The sequence below is a fragment of the Homo sapiens genome, chromosome 9, assembly GCF_000001405.40.
Source record: "Homo sapiens chromosome 9, GRCh38.p14 Primary Assembly".
NCBI lineage: Eukaryota > Metazoa > Chordata > Mammalia > Primates > Hominidae > Homo > Homo sapiens.
In genome coordinates, this window is record NC_000009.12 from 133,579,438 (window position 1) to 133,606,970 (window position 27,533).

General features: G+C 56.2%; 1 protein-coding gene and 1 long non-coding RNA gene across 12 annotated transcripts in view, besides 1 other annotated feature; one reads left to right on the forward strand and one right to left on the reverse strand.

Annotated features, from left to right (window-relative positions):
- Positions 1-2,902, forward strand: LOC124902296 (uncharacterized). Its single transcript, XR_007061833.1, has 2 exons — positions 1-403; positions 2,348-2,902. It is a non-coding gene; the product is annotated as an uncharacterized LOC124902296 (long non-coding RNA).
- FAM163B (family with sequence similarity 163 member B) overlaps positions 1-27,533 on the reverse strand; it is a 32,309-nt gene that overhangs the window by 2,357 nt on the left and 2,419 nt on the right. For 4 of the 11 annotated variants that reach the window (NM_001080515.3, XM_047423715.1, XM_047423714.1 and 1 more), the window contains one exon: positions 694-809. In NM_001080515.3, the coding sequence (NP_001073984.1) occupies positions 694-786 (93 nt within the window). In that variant the 5' untranslated portion in view covers positions 787-809. Of the gene's footprint in view, positions 1-693; positions 810-2,068; positions 2,672-4,801; positions 5,439-6,538; positions 6,683-19,730; positions 20,660-22,763; positions 22,976-27,533 lie in introns of those variants that run through there. The other 7 variants (XM_005272204.5, XM_047423717.1, XM_047423718.1 and 4 more) reach the window with 7 other exon arrangements.
- Positions 12,972-13,471: an enhancer, noted in NCBI's record as "H3K27ac hESC enhancer chr9:136457531-136458030 (GRCh37/hg19 assembly coordinates)". NCBI's record gives its function as "activates a minimal SCP1, AML or CMV promoter by ChIP-STARR-seq in naive H9 embryonic stem cells {active_cell/tissue: H9 hESC(naive)}" and the evidence as "EXISTENCE:reporter gene assay evidence [ECO:0000049][PMID:30033119]".

Sequence of the window (27,533 nt, forward strand, 5' to 3'; positions counted from 1 at the left end):
AGAGGGACGGTGACCATGCGGCCGCCCGCTCCCACCCCAGAACCGACATGTGGGAAAGGCTACCCCTGACTGGGGAGGGGAGATAGGCACGGTGGGAGTGGGGTGGCCCAAGCCCAGGCCTGACACCTCAGCTGTTTAACCAGTGCTATGGGTCTCACTCAGGCCAGGCGCAGTGCTGAGCACTTCACAACGATCCACTCATCTCTTCCGCCCAGCAACGTGCAGGTGTGACTGTTATCTCCATTTTGCAGGTGGGGAGACTGAGGCGTGGAGGGGTTCGCAGCCCCACATCAGCAGAGCCGGGGGTCACAGGCACTGGCAGCTGTGTTGCCTCGCCCTGCCCCGATGGCTCCCCCTCATCTCTCAGGGAGACATGGAGACTCTGGATGGCCCTGGAGTGCAGGTGGGAAGGATTGCTCACTGTGACACTCCTTTTGGGCAGCTGGTGCCCTTGGCTAAGTCCCTTCCCGTCTCTGAGCCTCTTTATAAGCTCTGGGTGAGGGGAGTCAGGCGCATCTTACTGAGCCCCATGGTAGGGTCCTGCTGCCTTCTGCTGTGTGTCTTCTCTGCCACAGGGCTCTTCCCCACTTCCCGGGCCGTGACCCTTGTGACCTTCAGGCGGGGCTCCCTCCCGAGGTAGGGGCACCCTCTGGGCCTCCCTGCCCTGTCCCCTTCCCCGCCGCCCGGGAATACCTGGAGCCGGCAGTAGCACAGAACAGCGATGATGCAGAGCAAAATCACAGTCGCCAAGATGCCCCCGGTGATGACCACGGTCCCGGCTGTCATCCGCCCCCTTCTCCATCAACAGCCTGCAACACACGCCGCCAGCTTTAGAGCATCACGCTTCCTCACCACAAAAGTCACTCGTGCTATTCTAGAGAACTGAGAAGACAAGCTGAGGGGAAAAAAGCACCCCAGGATGTGCCTGTGAGAGGCAGGGGCTCTGCCGGGGACGGGGTGCAGCAGGAGCCCAGGTCCTGCTCTGCCTCAGCTGGCCTCTGTCCCTGCCCCTCTCCCAGCCTCAGCTTCCACATCCGTAGAAGGTGGATGCTAATAGCACAGGGTTTTGTGACACTTTTACAAGCGTGTCTCTCCATGCTTAGTGTAGCATGCTGTCAATGAATGGCGCCCTTCCAGCCTGGCTCTACAAGCTTGCACGTTTTTAAATTTACCCAAATGCAGTCAGGCCGAACATATGGTTTTGTAACCTGCTTCCCTGCATTTTCATCTCACACAGTCACCATTATTCTGCCATATCCTTAAATTTTCTTCTGCAACATAGTCTCTAACCCGATTCCATTGTTTCATGTAACTGACTCCTTTTCTTTAAAATGCTTAATTGTGGTAAAGCACACATAAAATGTACCATCTTCACCATTTGTACGTGTGCGGCTTAGTAGCATGAATTATATTTCACACTGTTGGGCAACTAATCTCCAGAATTTTTCATCTTGCAAAACTGAAAACCAATTCCTGCCTGACGTTTGGGCTTCTTACATTAAAGAAATATTTTTAGCAATGTTTTAATAAGCGTCTTTGTAGCTAAGTAATGGGAACCACCTGAACCTGCTTCAGTGGCTTTCAGGATACATTCTTAGAAGTGGGATTTCCAGGCCTAGGGACATGCCCTTTGCAAACTCCTTCTTGTGGAAAATGTCCATCAAACACAACGCAGGGAGGCTGGAGTGATGCTGTCAGTGGCTGCTGCATTCAGCTCATCCCTGTCCTGGGCTGTGCTGATAAACCAGCTCTCAAAGCACCCGGCTGGGAGCATTTGCTGATTTTTGTGGTGTAGATTTTCTTACCATGGCCAGTTTCAGTTCAAGCAAGGTTTGACAAGCGGCTTACAAAATTCCTAAATTCTTCACAATCACCTCTCACAGAGCAGTGGGAGCTGGCGCCACTTCCCTTCCTCAATTTCCCAAGCCTCATTTTTATTTTTTTTTCTTGCTGGGGTATGGGGTGGAGGAAGAGATTGGAGTATTTTAAAGGAAATCACAGAGCATATCACTTTACCCATAAATACTCCAGTGCAGCATCTGACGGAGGAGGATTTTAAAAAAATTACCCAGCCTACGTTTAGCTTTCTCCTGTCGTCTCTGAAATGCCTTTTTTACGGTTGGTTAGTTCAAATCAGGATGTACTTGCTTTTGGCTCCTTTTGCTCTAGAACAGCTCAAAACCCATTCACGCCCCGCACCCCCATGTTGTTTATTGGAGAAACTGGGTTGTTTATCTGACAGAATTTTCCAGGCACTGGAGCTGGCCGGGATTCCTCGCATGGCATTGAACATGCTCCTTTATCAGTGTTTCTCCTCTAAACTGGCTTCCTGTTGCATCACTCCCAGGGGCCTGGTGTCTGCTGTCCCCCTCATCTTGACGTCACAATCAGCTAATGACTGCAGCTGCTCTCGGCCAGTTCTTCCATTGCCAGATTCCGGGGGGTCTCCCAGCCCATTGCTGCAGCATCCTGTGCGTGACCTGGATCTGTTACTTCACTAGGAGTTACAAAGTAGTGACTTTCCAAATGTTATCCTTCTTTCCACGTTTATGAGCTCCAGTTCTTCTTGAAAAAGCTCTAAAGCACATGCCTTTATCATCTGTGTGGTTACCCTAGCATGCGGCCTGCAGAGGGAAGGCTCAGAGGTTCCATTCCTCCCTTTATCAGGGATCAGAATGAGCTGGTGCCCTGAGGTTTGTGGCTGTGTGTGTGCCGAGAGGACGGAGAACAGGCCAGCCCAGATCCACACCTCTCAGTGAACCAAAAGTGACCCTGCCCCCTTTGCAGGCCCCGCGTGCCTACTGGTCCCAGCCTGTTGTCTGCCCCAGCTTGCCTTTCTACGTGGAAACTTGCCCAGTGCAATCTCACTGATTTTTGAAAATATATTTGATGCGTTTCAGTCCACTGCAGTCATGATTCTTTTTGATGTTCAAATGATCCCACTAGGGAGCAAACCGAGGCCTGGAGAGAAATGACCCGCCCAGGCCCCAGCACCAGTAAGATGAGGGATCTGGGTCAGGTCAGGGCTGGATCCGCTGCTACCATCCACCTTGGGGCCCCTGCCACCCTACCCCGACTGCTGAACCCCATGTCTCCTCCACGTGAATGCCTTGAATGCCACAGCTCCTTTGGGGAAGCACACACTGTGCTGATAGCAGGTTTGGGGGTGCTGGCCCAGCCATGGCCCTCTTCTTTGTGCCCTGAGCCAAGAGGCTGGTGGCCACTTCTGAGCCCTCTGCTGCTGTCCTTTCGGCCACAGTTTATTGGGTTTGGGATGGACGTGCACCCCAGGCTGGGCCAGCCGGCCTCTCTCCTGGGAAATGGAATTAAGGCCTGAGACACTGGCCGGTCCCTGCTGGTCGCTTGACCTTGGGTAGAGACATGAGTGCTCAGGCTGTGGCCAGGCTGTAGCCACGGGTGGGGTTTTCAGCCACATGTTGGAGAGTCAGAAGGCGCTGGTCCCCGGAGGGAGCGAGGAAGGCCACAGCTGCCGGAGAGATTGCTGTTGTGGTCCTGACTCAGGTGCCGATCCCTCCCCGACACCTGCAGAGTGACTCCTGCTGTGTGTATGTCACCTACTGTGTGTATGTCACCTGGAGGGCATTTTTGCTATTTGCACCCAGGTAATTATGGCCCCACTTCATCAATGAGGGCACTCACACAGCTTGGGAGGGGTTGAGGGAGGTGGAGGCTCGTGCCCGAGTGTTGTCTGTGGTCATGCAGGGATTAAAATTCAGCACCACCCTCCACTACGGGCCATGGCTGAGGGCCCACTGCTAGGGCTTACTGATAGCAATGGGGGCCACTGCTTTCCCATAGGGAAGCATGGGCCTGGGTGGAGGGGCTCCCACTGCTGTCAGGCTGAGACTGCAGGGAGGATGGAGACTGTAGGTGGCCATGGCTGGGCTGAGGTGCTCCCTCAGGGACAGGTACTGGGGAGCCATACAGGACACCCAGGCTAAACCCCCAAGTGCCAGCCTGGCTTTGCCTCTGGTTAGCTGCAAGAATGGGCCTTCAGTGCCTCCATTCCTCTGCCTCAGTTCCCTCCTCTATAAAATGGGAGAACCCCAGGGGTTCTGTGGGACAGCAGCTGCACCATGCTCAGTGCTGTGCTGATGTTAGGACCGTGTCCCTCCCTGGGTCTGAGTCCTTCATCGGGTCCCTGAGGGAGCTGGCCCCGCTCGCCGCAAAGCTCTCTCTCAGGTCTGAGATGCAGCCGGTCCCTGGCTCCGCCTGGCTGCAGCTCCTCTGGGCCCAGGTCTCCTCCAGCGGAGAGCAGCCTGGCGGCGTGACGGGAAGGGTGCCGGCTCAGGCCAGGTGCCCAGGGCTGTCAGCAGCCACCCTCCAACACCCAGGCTGGTCCAGCTGGAGCCTCTCAGCCTCGCTCTGCAGATACACGCCTGCCGAGGAGCAGCAACGCCCGAGACGGCGCCAGGTCCCAGGGCCAGGCATGGCCGACAGACACACACTCCGCTGGCAGCTCCACCAGCGCCCAGCCTGACATCAGACCACAGTTCACTCCGAGCAGCTCCCAAAAACACGGCCTCCCTGGGCCTCCACCCTCCTGCCTCCCCTCTGCTCTAGCTGTGCCCCACCCTCTGGGATGCCCATCCCCCCCCCGGACCTACCACGCCATCAAAGCCCAGCACGTGCCCTCCTCTCCCAGGAAGCCTTCCTGAACTTTAATACACACCACAGAACTTCAAAACTTCAAACGCCAGAGCTGAGAGGGACCAGGTCCCACCCCTTCATTTAATGGGGGAAGAATATGGACCACCTGCTGCCCTCCCTGAGTGCTTACCTTCAGCCTCCTCCCTGGGGACCCCAGGACTCTACTCAGCTGTGGCCCAGGTGATACGAGTCTGCGGGGCCTCTGTCCTGCTCTACTCTTGCGGGTGACCTTGGGTCAGAGGCCTCTCCCTGGGTTCAGTTTTCTTATCTGTACAATGGGTGTGGCAGGGTTTAGACGCTGATTCCTCCCAACTCTGGGGGACTTGGATTTTTAATTGGTCCTGCCAGGAATCCAGATGATTTAGACACCCAACAAAGTCAGGATTATGAAAATGTAAACAAACATCAAGTGATAAGGCGAAAAAGCCAGATGACACCCTCCAAGGGTAGGCAGAGAACGGGAAGGGCTACAGACACTTTGGCTCCCAAGGATACTTGTGCTCTGAGAAAGCTGAGTGCCTGAGAGAACAGGGGAGGACTTGGCTGCTCAGGGTGGTAACGGATGGGGGAGGAACCGAGGGAAACTTCCTGGAGGAGGAAGCTTCTGAGCCGGGCTGTGAAGGATGGGCTGGGAGAAGAAGGAGAGGGCCTGTTGGTGCTGGGAACAGCACAGGCCAAGCCTCGGAGGCAGAGCCATGCGGGTCAGGCCCAGCAACAGCCTGGCAGAGGCTACTCTGCCGCCTGCTTGTGACTCGAGCCCCACCCCTCTTCCAGCTCCCTGAAGCCTCCGCACTGCCAGCCAAGGCAATTTGGCGAGAATAGCGCTGAATTGTTTATCTGCCCCCTGGGACCATAAATGGTTTTAAAGCTTTATAAATGGCTTTGCTTCCCTGTTCCCACCCCGGGTTTTTACAGGGACAGGTTGTGAGATGGGGCTCCCCTGTGCGTCCCCCACCCCAGTCCACAGAGTCTGTGGCAAGGGGGCCTGGGCGGGCAACAGTCCCCTTCTGAGGGCCCCATCTCGTCTCTGTAGCCGGCAGGGAGAGCCAGCTGCGTTTACAAGCTTCAGTTGTCTCCTGCGGCACCGGCACCGAGGAATGAATGGCGTGGAGCTGGGGGTGGGGCAGGAAACACCTGGCAGCAGAGCCAGACACGGGCCTCCACCTGCCTCCCCCGGGAGCCCCCTCCCCACACCCACCTTTCCCTGGCAGGAGACCCCCTGCTAACCACCATCTGGGCCACACGTCCCGTGCTGAATTTCAGACTCTGCTAGTTTTCTGTCCCTCTTGCCACATCCCCCTCACTTGCCGTAAAGCCCACGGGAACGGACCCCTCCAGAGCTTATTTATTTTGTGCCCCAGCCCCAGCCCCCGCCACTGCCTTGCATGGTACAGGGCCCAGGCGACGCTTAATGAAGGCTTCTGTCTGCCTCGTTCACCTGAGATGCCCAGCGCTCGTGGTAGGAGCCAGGGAGAAGCCAAGGCCTACATCCTCGGCACTGGCCGTGCCCTCTGGCTCATCCAGCCCCGCGCCTTCCAAACCAACCGGGCCCCAGGACGGGGAGCCTGGTAAACACACAGACGTCCCGACGGCAGTGCAGCTGCACGGGCCCTGCAATCTGATGGCTTCACAAGCGGCCCCTCTAACCAGGTGAGGCGGGCGCCCTCCACTTCCAGATGGGGAAACCAAGGCCAGGGCAGAGAGGGCCAACCCTGGGGGCCCAGGGCAGAGCTGGACCTGGAACCCAGGCTTGTTGCCTCACGGTCAGACTCCTCCCCATGCCGGCGTCTCGTCGAGGGCTTATGGAGACTCAGAGCGCCTTTTCTCCACAAACACATCTGTCTGGTTACAAAGGCGCTCCCATTACCTGGAAGCCCAAGGGCCCCGGCGTCCTCGATCGGAGGAGAGCAGCCCGCAGAGTTCCTGTCTAGACCTCCTGCACATTTGTTCCTAATTTCATGCTCCGCGGGCTCCCAGATGCCTGCGTTCAGTAATAAACAGACGAGGAAGTGCTCGGCTGCCCTGTGCTGCCGCGGTTGGTCTCCGAGATGTTATCCAGAGCCCGGCTGGGGGTGGGCTGGCAGAAGGGAGTCTGCGGGGCCTGGAGGGCAGTTCCCAACAGCACCTGGAATGTCTGCCTTCCCAGCTCTATCCCCAGCTCAGCTGCGGGGGGAAGAGGGGGCAGTGAATCAGGCCCCTGCCCACCACGGGTTCTGAGGGGCTTGCGGTCTGTCTAGGAGGCAGAAAATGCCCACAGCAGGGGGACTGGTGCTGCCGGGCTTGGCACAGAGTGGGGAGCTGGTGTCTGGAAAACTCGTTCGTGCCCAGGGTTTGCCCCCGTGGTTGCCTGGATTCCTTGAGGGGCCCCCAGAAAGAGCACAGGGACCATGGCATTTTGCTGGCCACTTCTGGGGTTTCACAGATTTCTAGAAGCTCCCCCCAGACCCCAGCTGGAGAGCCCCCTGGGGTCAGTACCATGGAGGGGCTCTTAGGGTCTGTGGTTCACTGCCCAGCAGAAGCAGGGCACACAGTGTGTGTTTGGCACAAAAGTGCAGATTGTGGTGCCCAGGGGTCTCTGTGCTCTTAAAGAATGGAAGCTGTTTCCACGTTGGGCCAGCCGGAGCTGCTGGGCAGTTGGGTAGGAGTAAGGCAGGGGTGGGGTGTGATGGGGAGCAGTGGGTCCCTGCCTTTCTCAGGACTGCCACCCAACCATGTCAGGGGTTGTAAGAACCAGCATGGCCTCAGCCAGGCTTTGCGGGACTCTGTGCATTCATCTCGTCTCACCCTGGGACCCCCCAGCGTAGGCGGCTTTCCCAGGTGGTGGCGTGAACTGAGGTAAGAGTGGTTCGGCCACTGTCCAGAGCCCACTCCCTAGGCCATCGGGGAAGCAGGGGGTCTGACACATCTCTGCAAGGAGATGACTGACCCATATTTTCTAGGGAGTAAACTGAGGCCAGAAGAGTGAGATGATCCACTGAGCAATGGAAAAGCCGACCGGACAGATGCCTATCCTTGCTCCTCAAGGAGTCTTGCTGAAACTCAAAGCCCATCCCTGTCTGGAGTCCAAGCCACAGAGGCCACTCTCAAGACCAGTTTCAGCTGACCGGCGACCAGGGCGACCCAGGGCTGGAGCCCTGCCTGGCCCACTACTGGCATGGTGCAGAGCTGGGAAGGGGAGTCGAGGGGTGTTGTGGACCAGGAGGAGAGGAGCTGGAGCCAACGCCAAGGCTGTGGATGGCTGGGAAGCCCTGGAGCCATAAGCAGGAAGCACGAAGCTGAAAGGACTAGGTGATTGTCCCCCCCTGGCCTGGTCCCCACCAGGAAGTCACTGTCTGCCAACCTCAGGAACCGTAGGGCAGGACAGGGAGTGTCAGGATCAGGCCTCCTGGCCTCCATCATGGGGCTGTGCCAAAGCCTCCTGGGGGCTCCCTGGTCCTCAGGGGTCACTGCTTCCTCTGACCCAGTGGGCAGGGTCTAGCCTTCAGTGCAGTCAGAGGCTGGGTCAGGCGGAGCTGAGATAGCCCCCACCAGGCAGGGTGTGGGAGGAGAGGGGACCCCGGCTGAGGGCTGCCTGGTTGCTCCCTGGGCCTCCTGGAGATGAGTGGCTTGCGTCCCCGACGGGTGTGGCTGGGACTCTCAGGCTGGAGCTTTGGGTGGTCTGAGGGAGGCGGGGCACTCAGACCATCACCCCAAGAGTCAGGCCTGCCTCAAACCTCACCTTCTGCCCAGTCTAACTGACCCCACTTTCTCAGGCTGGGGTCCCTGAAGCTCTTTCCTGGGATCTCCCTGGGAGCCCCTGGAGCAGATAGGGAAGGGACAGAGAAAAGAGAAAAAGGTGATGGGCGAACGGGGGCGCGAACGGGGGGCGAGCCTGGGAGGGGAGGGGAGGGGAGGGTGGGAGCCCAGTGCTCACCAGGACCTCACTGCTGCTATCTGCCCAGGAAGCCAGGAGCAGCCACAGAGGCAAAGGTGAGAAGTCCCCGCACCCTGAGCTGTGAGGCTGGGCAGTGGGGAAGCCAGTAGCACTCCCTGCTTTGGCACTAGGGAATTGCAGACCCTGTTCAAAAATCACTGACCAGTCCCAGCCCCTTTCTGCTGAGACCGAGTCGGGGATCGTGGGAGATGGGGGAACCACTGGCCCTGTCTGGGGCAGAGCAGCAGGCAGTGCCATGGGGGTCTCAGATAGATCATGCTGGTGGGAGGCCTGGCCTGTGGGGCCCTTCTGTCAGGAAGGCTACCACGCTACTTAAGGACCTTGAACAGAAAGATTTGGGGAAGAACTTGCAAAAATAAAGCTTGAGTTGTGGCCGCTGCTGTCAGGCCTGAAGTTGCCACCTTTGGCTCCAGGTCCTGCTTGCCCAGAAGAGGGCACACCTGGGCTGCATGGCCCAAGGAGGTTGGATCCCAACTCTGGGGTGGGGGTGGGCTCAATGGTACAGAAGGATCTAGCATGTTGAGGGATTAGCATGCTGAGGGATCTAGCATGTTGAGGGATCTAGGATGCTGAAGGATCTAGCATGTTGAGGGATCTAGCAGGTTGAAGGATCTAGCATGCTGAGGGATCTAGCATACTGAGAGATCTAGCATGCTGAGGGATCTAGCATGCTGCTGACCCACTCATTGTGCAGTTGGGTGGCTGTGCTCCCCAGAGAGGGGACCTTGCCCAGGGTCACCGGGCACATCTGCTGCAGAGTGAGACACAGGCCAGTCACCCTGAATGGTCGTGGGCGCCAAGTTGTTGGTAGAGGAGATGGGAGAAGGGAAAAGGACTGGGTTTCTGGATGCTGAGCTCAGCAGCCTCTCCCAGAAACCCCTGCTCTCCTGTTCTGACCACCTCGTGGTCTGAAATATTTATGCACATCCCTGAAGAAGCTCGTGGTTCAGGCCCCGTCTCTCTGTCAGGCCCTACAACTGTTGACATTGATGATTTCAATACAGCAGAGAAACCTGCTTTTCAACAAGTAGAATGCTCAGCAATACCCCCGGAAAATACCCCCTGGGAAATCCCGTGAGCTGGGGCTCCTGCCCGTGCCATCCTGTGTTGCCCCACTGGGGTTCCTGAACCGTAAGTCTGAACAGGTTCCTGCCTCACTCAAACACCCTGCATGGCTCCCTATACCTCTTAATAATAATAAGCACAGGATCCTGTGCCAAGCACCACTATCTCTGTGCCAGGAGGGCATGGCACCCTTCACCAATGTCTCCTTCAATTGCCGGGACAGCCAAGGCAAAGATTATTATTATGCCCATTTTACAGACAAGGAAACAAGAGAGCCAAGGAGTCTAGCATGGGGAGAGAAAAGCACAAGGTCACATGGTGAGGGGTGAGGGCTCCAGGGGTGAACATGGTGTGCCACATCAAATCTGATGTATCTCCTTTTCCTTCCATCCCCCACCCTCAGCTTGCCTGTAGGGACGGGGTAAACTCACCGCCTTCCCTGCATCAGACCTAAGCCCCATGAAGGCAAGAACCTGGTTTCCCACTGCAGTCCTCCGGCCACCAGGGGGCGACACAGCGCGCACACACACAGTAGGGCGGCATTGGTGCTGATTTCAATGCAGTGGGGGCCGCGGCCCACACTTGCACCGCAGGCCCTGAGTGAGCTGGGGTCTTGCCCTCGTGACCCCCACCCTCACCTAGCTGATCCCCAGTGTTTCCCAGGGGGCGGGAACAGCAGCACAGAGCTGTAGGCCAGGCCAGGGCTTCAGGCCGCCAGGAAAAGGCAGATGAGATGCACCAAGAACATTCTGGGCTGCAGTTTCCCGATCTCCCAGCCGTGGGTCAGGAAATGGGGGGTGGGAGGGTAGGGCCTGAAAACCCCGGGCAAGTCCCAGCTCAGCTGCCGACGGGGCTGGCTTTTTGTCTCCCTTAAAAATACCAATGTGCAGAAGTTGGGTTCGTAAAACCCTCTCTGCTGCTGGACTTAAGTTCCCTTCCCTTCCCTTCCCTTCCCTTCCCCTTCCCTTCCCCTTCCCCTTCCCTTCCCCTTCCCCTTCCCTTCCCCTCCCCTTCCCCTCCCCTTCCCCTCCCCTTCCCCTCCCCTTCCCCTCCCCTTCCCCTCCCCTTCTTTCCTTTCCTTTCCTTCTTTCCTTTCCTTTCCTTCCCTCTCTCCTTCCTTCCTTCTCTCTCCTTCCTTCCTTCTCTCTCTCCTTCCTTCCTTTTTTCTTTTCTTTTCGTTCTCTTCCTCGAACTGAGCCCAGCTCCTGGTCCCAGTTCAGGGCCTGGAAGGCGGACGGGAGGGAGGGCCAGGCCAGGACTTGCTGGAACGACCAGAGCTCTCGTTTAGTAAACAAATAACTTAGTCCCGTGCTGGGCTGGGGGCTCCCCGGTGCTTCAGTGAACCCTATAGGCACAGCCGGCGCAGGCACTTTGAGCATCCTCATGCAAAGATGAGGAAACGGAGGCACAAAGAGGGAGGAAGCACAGGCTTGATGCACTTCCAGGCCTTTACCCACCAAAATGGCCCAGCACCTTGAGATAATGTTCGAGAAAACTCCTGGATGCTCAGTAAAGCCCTCGCTGACTCAGCCTTACGGACAGGAGCAGGTGGACTCTCTGCTCAGTGGGGACACGCCTGGAGTCCCAGGAGAGCCCCGAGAGCCAGTAGACACATGGAAGGCACCCCAGACCCCAGCCAGCAGCGTGGCCCGGAAACTCTGCCCCCAGCCAGGAATTCCAGCCCTTACCAAGGTCTCCTCTGCCTGAGGGGCCGCTGGGTGTCAAGGGGCCGACAGAACAGCATTCTCGGTCAGGACATGGGACACATGGGGCCAGGTTGAGAAAGAACCCTGGATACTACCATTGCCCTTTGTGAAGGAAGCTTCTGGGGATCCTGAGAGAGGTACCAGCTCTGAAGCTCCTGGCCCTGCCCCCTGCGTTGGCAGAAAGCCTCTCTCCTTGGGTCCCTCAGCAGGCAGGCAGGCTCTGGATAGGGCAGGGCCCAGCTACTGGGGCATCCTGGTCTGTCTTCCAAGGCCCAAGCCCGGACCACCCCACTCATGAGCAGCTGCCTCCCTTCTGGGTCTACCTTGCACTGCCATGACCACCCTCTGCCAAGCAGCTGGCCTCCTGGGGCCAGGGCAGCCTCTTCCGCAGTGGCAGGCACCTGCTATGCCCTGGCACTGGGCCCCTGTCTCCCAGCCCTCTCCATCCTGGGTCCATCACAGCAGGCTTTGTATTTACTTAGGCCAGGAACCAGGTGCTGTTCCGGATGGGGGAGACACCCAGGCCCAGCCTCAGGGCACTGGCCACCTGGGTGTCCTGTGGGGGTGGTAACTGTGGCGGAGATGACACCCACATTTTCCTGTTGGGGCCGTGCACACACAAGCTCATCCTGCCCCTCCTCCTGGCTTGTGTCCCTGCAGGGGACCCTGCCTGGCCTTCTCCACAGCCAATGTGAGCCCTCCCTGGTCCAGTCCTCCCTGGTGCCCCCATAGCACCCGTCCCTCACATTGGGCTTACACCAGCATCCCCCGAATGCACTGAAACCTGGCTGCGGGCGCTACCCTGCAGCTTCGGACTCAGGGGGGCGGAGAACATGCCTTTCTCCCAAGTGCCCAGGGGATGCTGATGCAGCGGGCGCGGGGAGCACACTGGGGGAGCACACTGGGAGAACCACTGTCCCGAAGGATGGCCCCCAAAGCAGGTCTGGCCCAGCAGGGGCTCCTCTGAGTGAGTCCTCACTCCTTGGGACCAACCTGACCCTCACCCTAGGCCTGTCCGTGTGGCCTCTGCCTCAGGACGGGGACCGCTCTGGGGATGCACCTGCTGGCCTCAGGGGTTGTCCCTTGGCCTGGGAGACCCCTGGCACCCCCGCTGTCCTCTCCTTTCCAGGTGACTGGCTCCTTCTGGCCCTTTAAGATGGTGCCGGGCCTCGCCTTCTCCAGGAAGCCTGCGTGACCTCCCTAGTGCTCGCGGCCTGGCCCACCCTGCTTGTTTTCATTTTCCTTGTTTTTCTGGAGCTGCTCCCTTGGCCAGCCTCCCCAGGACACTGTGACCTCGTGTCCAGCTCCACGAGGGTGGGCCCTCAGCCTCACCTTGATGCACAGGCCTGGTAAACAGTGGGTGCTCCATAAATGCCTGTGGGCCGAGTCACTGGCTGAGGCGGAGCCCCTGGGAACCAAGCACCCTGGGAGGGCTGAGGTGGTGCCGTGCCCCTGTGGGATTTCTTGTCTACAGGAATCACGACTGCAACTCCAGGGAGCAGAGATGCATCCCCCTCTGCCATCGGGGAAGTTTTGGGAAAGTCAACCTGAGCTCAGAATTGAGCTTGCCCCTGGGCGGCCTGAGAGGGAGGCCGAGGGTGTGTCCAGCAGCCACTAATGTCCACCCCACTGGTCAGGTGGACTGGCAGCCTGGAGCCATAGAAGAGTGCCTTCCCTCTTCCAGGAAGGTGCCCACGCTGGCTGTGCTGAGGGGCTCACACAAGAAGGGCGAAGGGGTGGGGAGGCTGCGCCAGTGAACATTGCCCTCTCCGGCCAAGGGCCTGCCCTCTGCCAACTCGCAGCCACTCTCCTTGCCTTTCAGCCACCACCCTGGTCCTGCAGCCTTGCAGATAACTACCAGTCTGTGTCTCCCCCAGGCCAGTGACTTCTTTACTTAAAGCACCATCAGCATCAACTGGGAGCTTGTTAAAATGCAGAGTTCCAAGTCCCACCCAGGCCGGCGGGGGGGTCAGAAACTCTGGGGGTGAGGTCCAGCAAGCCCCCGAGAGGATTCTGACCGATGCTGCTGGAGAGCAACAGGCTGACCCCGGGCTGCACACTCGAATCACCTGGGGCAGTTACACCTGCCCCAGACCTGGCAGCATCCCAGGCCACTGACAGGACAAGCTCTAGGGGTGGGCTCACGAACCAATACTTGCACAGCTTTGCTGGTGGTGCCAATGTGCAGCCCAGGCCGAGGCCCTCTGAGTTAGGAACACGGAACGCGTGTGAGTGCCGTGTGCGCCTGTGCGGTGCGGGTCAGCAGGAAGCAGAGCCGCCCTCTCATCAGTCTTTACAGGGACCTGGGTCATGCTGGGACCTGATGAAGGTTTCCCCCCCTGTATCGCTGTGCCCATTCTGCAGATGAGCAAACATCAGGGAACTGATTTGCCAAGGCAATGCAGCCAGCAGGAGGCAGACTCTCCCATGTCAGCATCTCTTCTTGCTCAGCCAACCAAGCAAAGTGATGCCTGGAGTTGGCTGTTTCCTCCTGTATCTCATCTCCAGAAAATCCTGCCCATTTAGTTCCCTGAGTAGCTCCAGAGTCCAGCATCTGTCCACCACTGCCATCCATACCCTCTGCCACCCCCAGCCCAGGCCACCTCCACTGGCCCCTCTGCCAGCCGAGGTCATACACCTGCTCCCAGGCCCTCACCTCCATGCCCCTGCTCCAGTGTGCTTATACCTGTTGCTATCACCTCTCCCTCCCAGCCCCGGACACCTCTGATGCTGTGTCCATATCTGCCTGGGAGTCAGAAAGGCTTAGGCAGGAATCCAGACTCTCCCCATTAGCATCAGGGCGACCATGGCCTCAGTCTTGTCTCTGAAACAGGAGAATTATGACAATCTCCAGCTTTCCTCCCTCCTTTCCATGGCATCTGCTGAGAGTCAGCTGTGTGCCAAGCACAGCCCGGTGCTGGGGCCAGGGTCCCTGCCTCATCCTGGCCCAGGGAGACAGGCTGTCGGCAGGCTAGATTCGCACCCCGGCCCCGAACCTCAGACACTGCCCAGGGGCTGGCAGGGCCAGTGGCTTTGATGGCGCCTCACTGGCCTCTCCTTGGAATTTCCCTTCCTAAGTCTGGGCTGGGAGCTCCAGGGCAGGCCCGTCTCAGCCACATCCACTCCCCCTCTGCCACCCCCAGATCCATGGGGCTGGCTCTCAGTGAGAGGAGATGACAGGGGTGGACCGTGTGGAGCAGGTTCTGGGGCTGCGGGGACATTTCTGTGACTGTGCCAACTGGTAGGACTTCAATTATGTTTTAACGAGACAAGATCAGCTTGTGTAGACCACACTGAGGTTTGGTTTCCTATCCCAGTGGCCACGTCCAGAGCTGTGCTCTCGGAATAGTGCCAAGGTTTCCTTTACAGCGCATTTGTTTCCCGTAAGGCATCCCCATCAGTCCATCCAAGGAATCTCTCTGGAACACAGCTCCTGATCTAGGTCCCGAACATCTGATGTCCTGGGTCCTCCAAGGTTGCTCCTGATTTACATTTCTGGCCTCACCTGCACTGCCCCAATGCCCTTTAGACTTGTCTGGGTAAGAGGTTGTTCCTCTGGCCTCCCAGCCACCAACTTTGCATTTTCTTGCTTCTGGGCCTTTGCTAGTGTCATTCCCAGGACCTCGAACTCCCCTCCAGCTCTGCGTACTGAGATTCCTGGCCATCTGTCTCCATGCTCCTGGAGCAAGCCTTTCCTGATTCCCACCCCTGAAGATGGCTCCCTCTTCTGGGCTCTAGTAGCACCCTCTGTCTGCACCACATGTTTGGCATTTATAGTTTATTAATAATTCAGCAGCAAATATTCTTTCAGCTCTTACTGCATCCTGGGCCCAGCTTTGGGTCCCTGCTTTTGTGGAGTTTTCAGTCCTGTGGGGGGACATGAATGTGCACTGGTGATTTCGGGAGTGCAGAGAGGAAGAATGGGGAGTGTTAACAGGGGTGGCAGCCAGGAGAAGTGACCCTGAGTGAGGGGCCCAGATGCTGAAACCTGAGGATGAGTAGCGAGAAGATGGGAAAGAGCACCCTGGGCAGGAAATGGCACTTGCAAAGGCCCAGAGGCAGGCAGGGCAAGGCAGGACCTGGAGAAGCCCATCTTGCTTGGAGTATAAGAGCAGGAGGGGGACAAGACAAGAGGGGCGAGGTCAGCAGAGACCCCGCAGGCAGCAGGGCGTTGGTGCCTGAGCCAGCCTTCCTGGAGCCCTGTCCCTGCCTTCCCTGTCACAGCTTGGTGCTGCTCCTTCCTCTCCAAAACACTTTCCAGGTCAGTCTTCCTCACATTTTAACGTGCATCGAGTAGCCTGGGGAGCGGGGCTGCAGGACTGTGCATTTGTTTTTGTTTGTTATGTTTTTGAGACGGAGTCTCCCTCTGTCACCCAGGCTGGAGTGCAATGGCACGATCTCAGCTCATTGCAACCTCTGCCTCCCAGGTTCAAGTGATTCTCCTGCCTCAACCTGCCAAGTAGCTGGGACTACAGGTGCATGCCAGCACACCCGGCTAATTTTTGTGGTTTTAGTAGAGACGAGGTTTTGCCATGTTGGCCAGGCTGTCCTCCAACTCTTGACCTCAAGTGATGATCCTCCTGCCTCGGCCTCCCAAAGTGCTGGGATTACAGGCGTGAGCCACTGCACCCGGCCAGGACTGTGCATTTTTAACAAGCATCTGGTGCTGCTGGTGCGGCATCCTCGGACCACACTTTGAGGACAAGGGGCTGTAGCCCTTGGCTTCTGGGGCATTGTGCTCTCCCCGATCTCCCCCTCCCTCCTTGGCTGGCTTCTCCTACTCTCCTGACCTCTAAGTGTGAAGGGGCCCAGGGTCAGGCCTCAGGTTCCCCTTCCTTCCCCATGTCCACCCGTTCCCATTCCACCCTTCCCACAGTGGCTTCCCCCACTTTACAGCTTCCAGGCCACATATCAAAAATATCCCCTGCTCCATGGTTGCTCTCCACCCCCTTAACCTGCCTGGTTTGTACCTTTACCCCATACTTGGCATATTATATGTTCATTTACTGTCTGTTTCTTCCCTCTGGAATTTGAGTTGCTGAGGACAGGGGCTCGGTCTCTTTATTCTGGTGCCTGGAATGGTGTCCTGGGCCCATGGTGGGCACCTGGTGACTCTCAGCCGAATGAGAAGTGAATGTGTTCAGGGCAAGGGTCAGAAGGGGGCTGGCCAGGAGAGTAACTGGACTGGTTCTGCTTTTGGTAGTGGCTCTGTGGCTGCGGGTGCAAGGCAGGCATGGTGGGGTGGGTGTGGAGGCAGAGTGGGAGGAAGCCGTTCAGAGGCTGTCATGGTCATCAAGAGGGAGGAGGTGGTGGGCTGGAGAGAAGGGGATGGGGGGATGAGTGGGAGGGAGCACCAATAGGGCTTGTTGGTGGTTTGATGGGGAGCAGGGAGGAGTCCTGGGAAACCAGAGGCTTCTGGCCCGGGCGGCTGTGCGGGGAGCCCCCGAGTTTGCCATGCTCCTGTCTGGGAGCAGCACGGTGGCTGCCACTTGAATCTGGGCTGTGCATCACCTTGGCTAAGTTTCTTCGTTCCTCCATGTTTCAGTTTGATAAAATGGAGATGACAGTAGAAGTCTCCCCATAACTGGTGGGCGGGGGCGGGGGTGGCTCACCCTTGTCGTGCAAAGCAGCATTAGCCAGAGTTTCAGCCAAGATGGGGTAATGGGGCCCAGGCTTGCCCTCCTGCTTGAAGGTGACACCAGTGATGAAGGAAAGCACTCCTCAAGCCATGGGGGAGAGACAAGGAGGGCCCTGTGGTGGCCCCAGCTCCCTCCAGCTGGAATCCCAGGCTATGGTGCAGGGAGCTCAGGTGCAGCCCGCTGCTCTCCCTGAGTTGCAGAGAGAGATGATAGCCCAAGGAGGCCAAAGTAGCCGGAGGTCACAGGACACAGAACTGGGGAGGAGCCTGCTGCTCCGTGGGGGACCGTGGAGCCACAGGGCTCTGCAGAGGGTCCCCCATGAGTAGCTGGCTGAACAGTGACTCAAATGTGAGCAAAACTACCTGAGGCCAGAGAAAGAACTAGCTGATAGGATTCCAGGGAACAATATTTGAAGCTCTCACAGGTCCAGAAATAGTTCCTCTTCCCACCAATCAGGGAAGGTTCTAATTCATGAAGCACTGGGTAGAGCTGCTCTAGACTTGCCTAACAAAGCTTAAAAGCAAGGCCTGAAAGGATCAAACTATTTCCCAATAACTGAGCTGCATCCCAGAACAGACATCACAAATATGTATTGCAATATAACAATGAAGTGGAATTCAAAATATCTGGCATCCAGTAACAAATTACCTGGCATGGAAAGAAGCAGAAAAATACAAACCACAGTGAACAGAAAATCAATTCATTGGAACTAACCCCGAAGTGGCACAGATGATAGAATTAGGAGACAAGGGTATTAAAATAGTTATTAACTGTAGCTTATATGTTCAAAACACCAGAGGAAAACTTGAGCATATGAAGTAGAGACATAGAAGATAGGAAAAAGAACCAACCGAACTTCTAGAGATGAAAACATGACAATGCCTAAGATGAAAAATGCAGTGGATGGAATTAACCTCAGACTAGATATTACAGAAGAAAACATTAGTGAACTTGCAGAGAGCAATAGAAGGGATCCAAAGTGAAATAGAGAGAAAAACATCAATAAACGAAAAAAACAAACAGAACTCAGTGAGGTGTGGAGAAGTTCAAGGGGTCTAATATACGTATAACTGGAATCTCCAAAGAAGTTGGAGCTGGTGCAAAAAACAATTAGAATAAATAAATATTGGCTGAAAAATTTCCAAATTGGATGATATTATAAACCCACAGATCCAAAAAGCTCAACAAACCACAAACACAAGAAACAAGAAGAAAACAACACCAGGGAACATTATAATCAAATTGCTTAAAACCAGCAACGAAGGGAAAAATCTAAACACAGAGCCAAGGGCTGCATGACCTACAAGGGCTCGAAGGTAAGAATGACAGCAGACTCCTTGCTGGAGACAATGAGAGCCAGGAGACAATGGAGTGGTGCCTTTCGAGTGCTAAAAAAAAAGAAGGCCGTCAACCTGGAACGTGCAATCCAGAAAAAGAAAAAAAACCCTTCCAAAATGAAGGGGAGATGAAGAGCAGCATTTACACTGTCTCCTCTTCTAGACTTGTCCAGGGGACAGGGCTCAAAGCTCAGCTCCTTCTCAGACACACAGGTCTGGACCTACCACTGTGGATTCTGATTTTCTCACTGGGTTTGGGTCCCAACCTGAGCCATGGTGACAACATCTAAGTGGCCAGTCTGGGGCTCCCTGCTCAGCCTTCAATCTCACAAAACCCAGCTTCGAGGCCTCCCTGGGAGCCAGGCGGCGGGAGGTATTTTGCTCCTGGGGGACTGGGTGGAGTCGGGCTTGTCTTGTTAGAGGCAGGGTTGAGGAGACAGCAGCTCCTCAGGGGCTCTCCCCCTGGGGACCCCAGTCCCTTGGGCCCAGGCCCTTCTGAGCGAGCATGGGGTGGAACAAGGCACAGGGTGGGGTGTGAGGCATGTTCTGCACACCAACCCTGAACCGTATGCATCCTTACCCATCAACACAGGAGTGTGAAACAAAAGAGAAGTGCATTTGAAAAAAAAAAAACAACAAACCAAAAAATATATAATGTCTATTTTAGCTGTTCACAAGGTTACAGGCAGTTTCCATGGCTACAGCTGTGTGCTGCGTGTGCTGGGGTGAGGAGGTGGGGCTCTTCTTAACCCAACAGTTGGGGCACTTAGATAATTTCGGCCCAGGAGCCAGGCACCCGCTGCTGGTGGGAGAGAGGGAGGGAGGGAGGGAGGGAGAGAGGGACCGCTTTCCCAGGACTGTGATGTCAGTGGTGAATTAGAATAACGCACTCATGCTCCTTGGCACACTGTAGTTTTGGCTGAGTTTTTGGGTCTATATCTCCCCAGAGAGAGCAGCCTGAGAGTTAGAGACAGGAGTCCTCATCTTATTTCACAGGTGGAGCACTGGGGACAGGGACCTGAGGCACCAGCAAACAGGTGGCAAATGAACACCTGAGCTGCTGGTTCATGTGCCTGTCCCCCAGGGCTCCTTTCAGTGGCCCCTCTCAGGCTGCTCAGAACAAAGGTGGCCTGAGATCCCTGCCCTCATCAGGGAGAGCCCAGGGCAGATGGAGGGGAAGGATGCCAGCCTGCCCCTGCTGGATGCAGGCAGCACCCCCTCCCCCAGGGGCCCTCCCCCCTTCCCTGTGAGTGGCCCTTGCACCCCTGCCCTGGGGGCACCTTCCACCTGGCCTGAGCGCCACACTTTCAGCTTTGTCTCCCACCCTCCTCCTGTCCTGCCTCTGGGCTCCAGCCATTCTCGCCTTTAAATGCCTCACCTGCACAGAGTTCGCCTCTGCCTCCTGGCCTTTGCACACACTGCTCCATCGACTCGGAACTGCCATCCACTCCTTGCATGGTCAGGTCAGGCTGCTGCTCAGCTCTCAGCTCAGACGTGACTTCAGGGAAGCTTTGCTGCTCGCCCAGGCCTCCTCTGGGCTCCCCTTCCCAGCACATGGTGCTGCATTGTGCCACAAAGGGAACCTGGGTCCCGGGACCCCACTGCAAGCCCGACAGCAGCTGAAGCCTGTGTCTGTGTGTTTGCATCTGTGTGTGTCTGTGTATCTGTGTCTGTGGGTATCTGTGTCTATGTGTGTCAATGTGTAAGGGGTGTGTGTATGTGTGCATGCATATGTATGTGTCTGTGTGCATGTGTTGAGTGTGTGCATGTGTTTCTGTGTATGCATGTATGTGTCCGTGTGCATGTGTGAATGTGTGTGTGCATGTATCTGCATGCATGTATGTGTAAGTGTGCATGTGTTAGTTGTGTCTGTGTATATGTGTGCATATGTGTCAGTGTGCATGTGTATCTGTGCATGTGTGAGCATGTGCATGTGTGTCTGTGTGCATGTGTGTGGTCTGTATGCATGTACAAGTGTGTTTTTGTCTGTGCGTGTGTGTGCATGTGATCTGTGTGCATGTGTGTATATGTGCATGAATGTGTGTCTGTGTACGAGTGTGTGTGCATGTGTGTGCTAGTGTGTCTGTGTGCATGCATATGCATGTGCAAGTGTGGGTGTGGTCTGTGTGCATGTGTGTGAGTGTGGTCTATGTGCATATGTGTGTGCGTGTGTGCATGTGTGTGTGTCTGTGTGCATATGCGAATGTGTGTGTGTGGCCTGTGTGCATTTGTGTGCATGTATGTGTGGTCTGTGTGGATGTGTGTGAGTTTGTGTGTGCATGTGTGTGTGTCTGTGTGCATGTGTGCCTCTGAATGTGTGTGGTCTATGTGTATGTGTGTCTGTGTGCGTGTGTGAATGTATGTGTGCATGAGTGTGAGTCTGTGTGCATGTGTATGTGGGAATGTGGTCTGTGTGAGTGTGTGTGTGTGGGGGGGAATGTGGTCTGTGTGCATGTGTGTGAGTGTGGTCTGTGTGTGTGTGTGTGTGTGTGTGTGTGTGTGTGTGTAGTGCTGAGAGTGGATGAAGAGCAGCATGCAGGTGCAAAGGTAGAGTCCAGCAGCCTGGCCCATCCCAAAGAGACTGGCTGGCCCACACGGCAGCCGGGGCAGGGGCGTGTGCCACAGTACCCCTGTTTCCCTGTGGTGCCACCCACTCTCAGTTTAGTGGAGCCCAGGTCACCTGGCACTTACGAGGGAAGCCCCAGATGGCCCCTGCAGCTGGGCCTCTAGATTCCTGCAGTTCATTTAAAGCTGGGCCCAGCTTGTTCCCTGGAGCTTTCGATGGGGTCTGCAGTGGGATGGGGTGGGAGCAGGGGTAAAACCAGAGGGTAAAAGGATGGGTGGAAGCCCAAGACTCGTGGGGCTTGAGGAGAGGTTGGTCTAAGCTCCTGGAGTCGCAGGCTCCCAGAATCTTAAAGCCACATTTTAGAGTCTTAAAAATCAGAACATGCAACCAGTGGCTGCTCAGAATCTGAGACTCCTTTCCTCTTCGATTCGGAAGGGACTTTGGAAGATAACTAGTGTAATCGCAAGCTCAGTGAACAATCACAGACGCTCCCTAACCCCCTTTCCCCTCGCAAATAACAATTCATCCAAGGCCATTAACTCAACTCTCCCTTGGTAGGGGGTAGGGGGGGAGCTTCATTGCCTCGAGTTCCTGGCTGAACTCCAGACATTTTGCTCTTCCCTGACATCAGCCCAAGTTCTCTCCCAAGTACCAGCCATGAGGACCCCTGGGAGGGCCCTACCCGCCTGCAAGCTCTCTGGGAGCAGGGCCTCAGAGGGCAGCAGAGCCTGTGAGCTGACAACCCTTCTTCCATCCCTCACTCTACTCACTCCTCCTGGAGCCCTGAACACCCACTGCCCCATACTAGGCACAGGGGTTACAAAGATCCACTGGGCCCCCTTCCTGAGCCTCTGAGCTCTCTGGGCAGGGCGCGCCTTTGGAGCCGACTCAGTGATTCTATTATAACTTGTGCAGGTAACTCTGCTGCCCTGAGCAGTCTTTGACCAAGGCTTCAGCAAAGACCCTGCCTGGAGCAATTTTTTAACATTAATTCTCCTTTTTAAATAGATTGGGCTCAGCCATTTTTAAACGAGTGGAGGTGTGCTGTTGAAAGGGTCTGTCTTGCAGGTGAGAGGATTTTTTAGAAACTGGTCATGCTGTCAATACAAATAGCAGCATTAACCACAGGGGCCTGGCCAGGCGAGACCCACTCTCTCTGGAGTTCCCTTCCGATTACTGAAACCCCCATAACTGGAGAATTTCGGGTGCCACATGGGTCAGACGCAGCTACCCCCCGGACTGCTCCTACACGCTGGCTTGCTTCCCATTTCTGGAACACTGCAAGTCCCTTCTTCCCTGAGGATGTTTTGCTGGTTTTGAATGTTTTGAGTGAAGACCCTGATGGGAAACCAGACGCCATCTCTGTCCCTAATCATGGGGTGTCTTGGTCTGGGGGAGCCACAGCCACACAAAACCACCAGCCATCTGACCACCATGGCGTCAGGGCGCGTCTCAGAAGGCTTGACTAAAGCTGGGACCTGGCACTGGCCAGGAGGTCCTTCAGGCAGCGAGGGGGGTAGGTGGGAGGAGCCTCAGGGAGGAAGGGACTCTGAGGGTTCGAGAAACAGGCAGTAGCCAGCACACAGGAGTGCTGCAGGGAGGACCAGCAGGGAAGCTGGGGGCTGGCAGGGTCTGTCCTGGGTGGGGCTCCACGGGCCGCACCGGGGCTGGGTTCTATCCTCAGCTGGGAATGGTTTTAAGCAGGGTTTGAACCCTGCCCCCCGCCCCCCCAAACACACACACACAGAGCTTTAGCATTGCCGCAGGGGCCACTTGGCAGGCCCTGCCTCCAGCCATGCCCAAGACCCGCCATATAACAACAAGTTCCATCTGCCACACTTCTACCTGGGTCTGGGATCTCCGGTGGATGACGACGGATGAGTTCTCATCACCCTGCAAGTGGGAAAGAGCCAGGCCCATGTTCATAGACCAGGAAACTAGGGCACAGAGAGGTTTAGTAATGTGCCTACGCTTACCAGCTGGAAGAGTTCGAATCCGGGTGGGATTGAGCTGTGGGGTCCCACGCTTGCGACTGTTCAGAGCATCTGGCTGGTTCTGTGGACGTCCCTCCCTGCTCCTCCCTCCCCCTGCTTCCCTCCACCAATGCTAACCCCTCCTCTTCTGGCAGCTGGGCAATGATGAGCGCTCCCAGGAAGAGAAGGGCCAGCAGCGAACAGGACGGCTCAGCCCAGGGGTGACAGAAAAGACCACACGAGTGATTGTTCAAGACTCTGTGTTGGAAAACAGTTTTTTTTTTTAAATAGAGATCTGTTCAGTAATTAGAGGGAACTCTCATGTGGGAAGTTCCATGAAGGTAAAATTAAAGTTGACTACATTTTTAATTTTGTAAATGGGTTCACACCAAGGCAGGAGGCTTCTGCATAATGAGTCTTTAACCAAACAAACTCTAAACACAAGTAAATACCAGAAGCTCACAGTCGACAATGTTGCAGAGAAGCTGATATTTTTCTAGTAAAATATTGGACGCTTTTTTCTGCCTTCCTTTGAACCAGAATCGAATCATTATATCCCAGAATCAGCCCTCTTAAAGCAGTGGCTAGTTTTGAACCGTTGAGAAGGGAGACCTGAGATAGGATTCTGGCCCTAAATGTGGGCCCTCCTTTCAGCTGAGTCTGCTGGACTCCAGGGCGGAGGGGGGGCCAGCCCAAGAGGTTGGCCCAGGGAGAAAGGGCACCTGGGGTGGGCAGGTGCTCGCCTTCGGATTGGGAAAATGAACATCTTTATGTTGCCTTAGGAAAGTTCCCTAATGAATCAAGTGAGACTGCAATTGCCAACGCCAACTGGAGGACTTGAAAACAGGATGTAAACATGACATTTCAAACACAAAGGTGAGGCCCTTGACAAATGCTACAGAGAAACCACTGATGCACCCAGGCGCCTCCTCCCCTACTGCTGTGGGTCCAATGCATACCCAGCGCATCCCACCGCAGCCGGCCTTTTCCTCCAGGGCCTCAGATCGCTCTTGGCAAAATAATCAGAGCTAACGCTAGGGGGATGTGTTGGTAGGAACCGCAGAGGGTCTGCACGGCTGGTGAACCAAGTGGAGACCAGGGGGTGAGAGGTGGCCTACAGCACGTGGGAAAAGCAACCCCAGCCACAATCCAGCTTGGAAAGCTAAAAGCCAATGAGATGACAGGGAAGTGGCCCAGCCTGTTCTCTCCCACCCGCAAAGGGAGAAGAGGAAATTCAGGGGCATCTTTAGCGGGGCCACTGCTCATTAGCCAAAGTTGACAGACTAGTCCTCCTGCCTCCTGGTGATGATAGGAGCCCGCATGTCTGTGCCACACCAGCTCCTTCCTGCTCCATGCTAATCCTTCAGGGCTTAGCTCAAGCACCACCTCCAGGAAGCCTTCCCTGCCTGCTCCAGCCCAGGGTGTACATTCCTTTGAATCTGGGGCACCTGCTACCTTGCACCCATCTTCTAATCCATGGACAGCTGCTTTTGCATTGCTATTTCTTTTCTTTTCTTTTTTTGGGGGAGGGGGCAGAGTCTCACTCTGTCACCCAGGCTGTAGTGCAGTGGTGTGATCTTGGCTCACTGTAACCTCCGCCTTCCAGGTTCAAGCAATTCTCATGCCTCAGCCTCCCGAGTAGCTGGGATTACAGGCGCATGCCACCACGCCCGGCTCTCTTTTTTGTATTTTTATTAGAGATGGGGTTTCACCATGTTGGCCAGGCTGGTCTCAAACTCCTGACCTCAAGTAATCCGCCTGCCTTAGCCTCCCAAAGTGCTGGGATTATAGGCATGGGCCACTGCGCCTGGCCTATTTATTTCTATTCACACTGCACATCCCTCATCCAACTATGAAATCCTTCCCTGGAGTGATTACTTGAGTGAACAAGTATATAAAATGAACACACACAAAAAATAAAACCTGTGGATGGCCTACATGACTGTTTACTGATATGGGTCCAGGTAAATCAATGACAGACTAGGGTGTCGACATGCAGACACAACCAAGACCTGTTAAGTCAAAAGGACAGGGAACAACACACACAGACTGGTCTCTCGGTGGTGCCCAGTGTGGCTGACACACACGTCACTGACACAGCCGAGCACTGGGGGGCAGGCCACACCCAGGAAACCGGGGGCTTTTACTTTGTAAAAAACCAGCCAACCAACCAACCAACAAAAGCTGAATAGCTTGGTTTTTCTCTTACTGCAAGCATGTATTTCTTTTATTCAAACACCCTTTAATATATGAAGTTAAATATATAAGGAGCATGAAGGAGACAGTCACCCTTGCTTTATGCAAATAGAACCTCTTTTCTGCCGTGGTGGGCGGTGAGTCTCAAACTCCACGGAACACAGGAATCACCTGGGGGCCGGTTACAACAGGTCTGGGGGCCTGGGAACCTGCATTTCTCACGGGTTCCTAGGGATGCTGCTGCTGCTGCTGCTGGTCCCCGAACCCCATCTGGAGTAGCACGATTTCAGATTGATGTCTATAAGGTAGTGCAGCCAGATACAGCAAATGCAAATTAGGATGATTTCAAAAGAGAGAGGACGGTTCTCCAGAGACCCGGGACCTGCCAGCAGGCCCAGCTCCCAGACAGGGCCAGCCTGTTGCACACAGAAACTGTGGACCTCCTCGTGAGGAACGGAGATGGAGGTGGCGATGATCCTGCCTGTGTGTGAACACTGAGGTCAGGAGCCAAGGCTGCCCCACGATGTGGGGTTTGCCTGCTTGCCAGGTGCAGACCGAGGCCTGTGGGCCCCGAGGCCACCTTACGGCAGAGCCAGGAAGTGAGCACGGGTCGGGGCTGCGTGGGGTGGAGCTGGCCTGGAAGAGGTTTTCGCTAGGGCTCTTCTCCCAGTCTGCTGGCTGGGAGGTAAGCTGGCACATCAGAGGCGGATGTAATGATTGCCATTTTATGAATGAAGAACCTGGGGCCCAGAGAGGCTGAGTAACCTCACGAGGGACGCATAGCTTGGATGGAAACACGGCTCTGCTGAGCTACAGAAGCTGTGCTCTTGTCCACTCAGCCACACTGCCACCCTCAGTAGCCAGGGAATGTGGTGGACGAGGTGGCAGCCCTGGGAGCCTGGTTTGTTTTGGGGTCTCTGTCCCAGTCCCTGCCCAGCCTCCACCGGAGCTCCCTAGCTGGTGCAGCCTTCTTCCACCTCTGCCACCTGGGAAAACTGAGCTCAAGGGCAGAGGTGACTAGCTCGGTCCGGCAGGGACCCACTCCCACAGGCACGGACGGCTCCCCGAGGGCTGAGAGCGCCCAGAGCACAGGCGGTAACATCCAGCCCAGTGGGATGATGGCTCTGACACTGAGCTGCTGCTGAAACAACAGTCCTCCCCCAGGGCCCCGGGGCCGCAACCTCACTGCCTACGTGCGGCCCATCCCGAGCGTCCGGCGCTGCCTGAGCCTGACTTAAGGGAGTGGTATAGGAGTGACATTTGGGCAGTCTCAGGCCGTCTCCCATCACCCCAACACAAACATCCAGCCCTCAACATGCTTGTCACTTGCCCTCTTCTTACCACCCTGGTCCAGGCCTCCATCATTTCCCTTCCTCCCCAGCTTCCTGCCTGCAGGGCCCCCTCTCCAAGTCATTCCCCATGGTGCAGCCAGAGAGGGTCCCTAAAGGGCAGAGCGAACCATGTCCCTCCGGGCTCCCAGAGCCTGGTTCCTGTGGACTGCGGCGGAAAGCCCAACCACTGAGCAGGGCTTACAAGCCTGGCGGAACCGGACCCCACCTGACTCTCCAGCCTCCTCCTTCACTGATGAGGCCCGAGGGAAGGAGGAGGCACAGTCTCCATTTTCCAGCCCAAGACCTTCAGGCCCAGGGTTCCACAGCCAGAAAGCAGCAAAGCTGGGCTTTCAACTCTACCTCCACCAGCCCACTTCACCCCAGGGGCAACAGGATTCCTTCCCCTCTCCAGCAACCCCCAGCAAGCGGGGATTGGGCCAAGGCCTGCGGGAGGATTCAGCAACGGAGGGAGGGAGCTGGCAAACACTGAGGCCTCGGAACTCATCAAATCCCCTCTGGAGCAGATCCAGAAAGACTGAGACACTGCAAGAAGTACCAGTGCCAAGTGTGGCAGCAGCTGGCAGAGAAGCCCCCCAGCCCCACCCTGGCCTCTGTAGGGTGGTCCCCAGGACCACATGCTCTTGGCATCCAAAAGCCTTTTGGCCAGGCTCACGGTTGCCCCGGTGTCCCATGTGCCAGCAGGGAAGGCAGGAGCACCCTCATTTTTGCAGATGGGGATGCGGAATGATGCACCCGTGGTCTGGCCTGGAAACCACTCTCTCTGCCACACAAATTGCCATTTTACCAACACACAGATCAGGACTTGCTACTCTGAAGAGGGAAGTGGCGGTAGGGCCAGGAGCGGAGTGGAGGACAGAACAAGGGCTCGGCTGCTGCTCTGCCTCCCCTCCTGCCCCGAGAGTTTAGAGTCAGAGGTAATTGACTGAGATGTAATACATCTCTCCCCTCCCGAGTGCTGTAATTATTCCTCGCTGGAGCCCGCTGCCATGAGGCTGCAGAGGCAGGCCCACGTGGCAGGAGCCAGAGGTCTCACTGCAGGAGTGGGTCTCCATGCTGTGAAGCCTCACCCAGAACCAGCACCAGAAAAGTCAGGA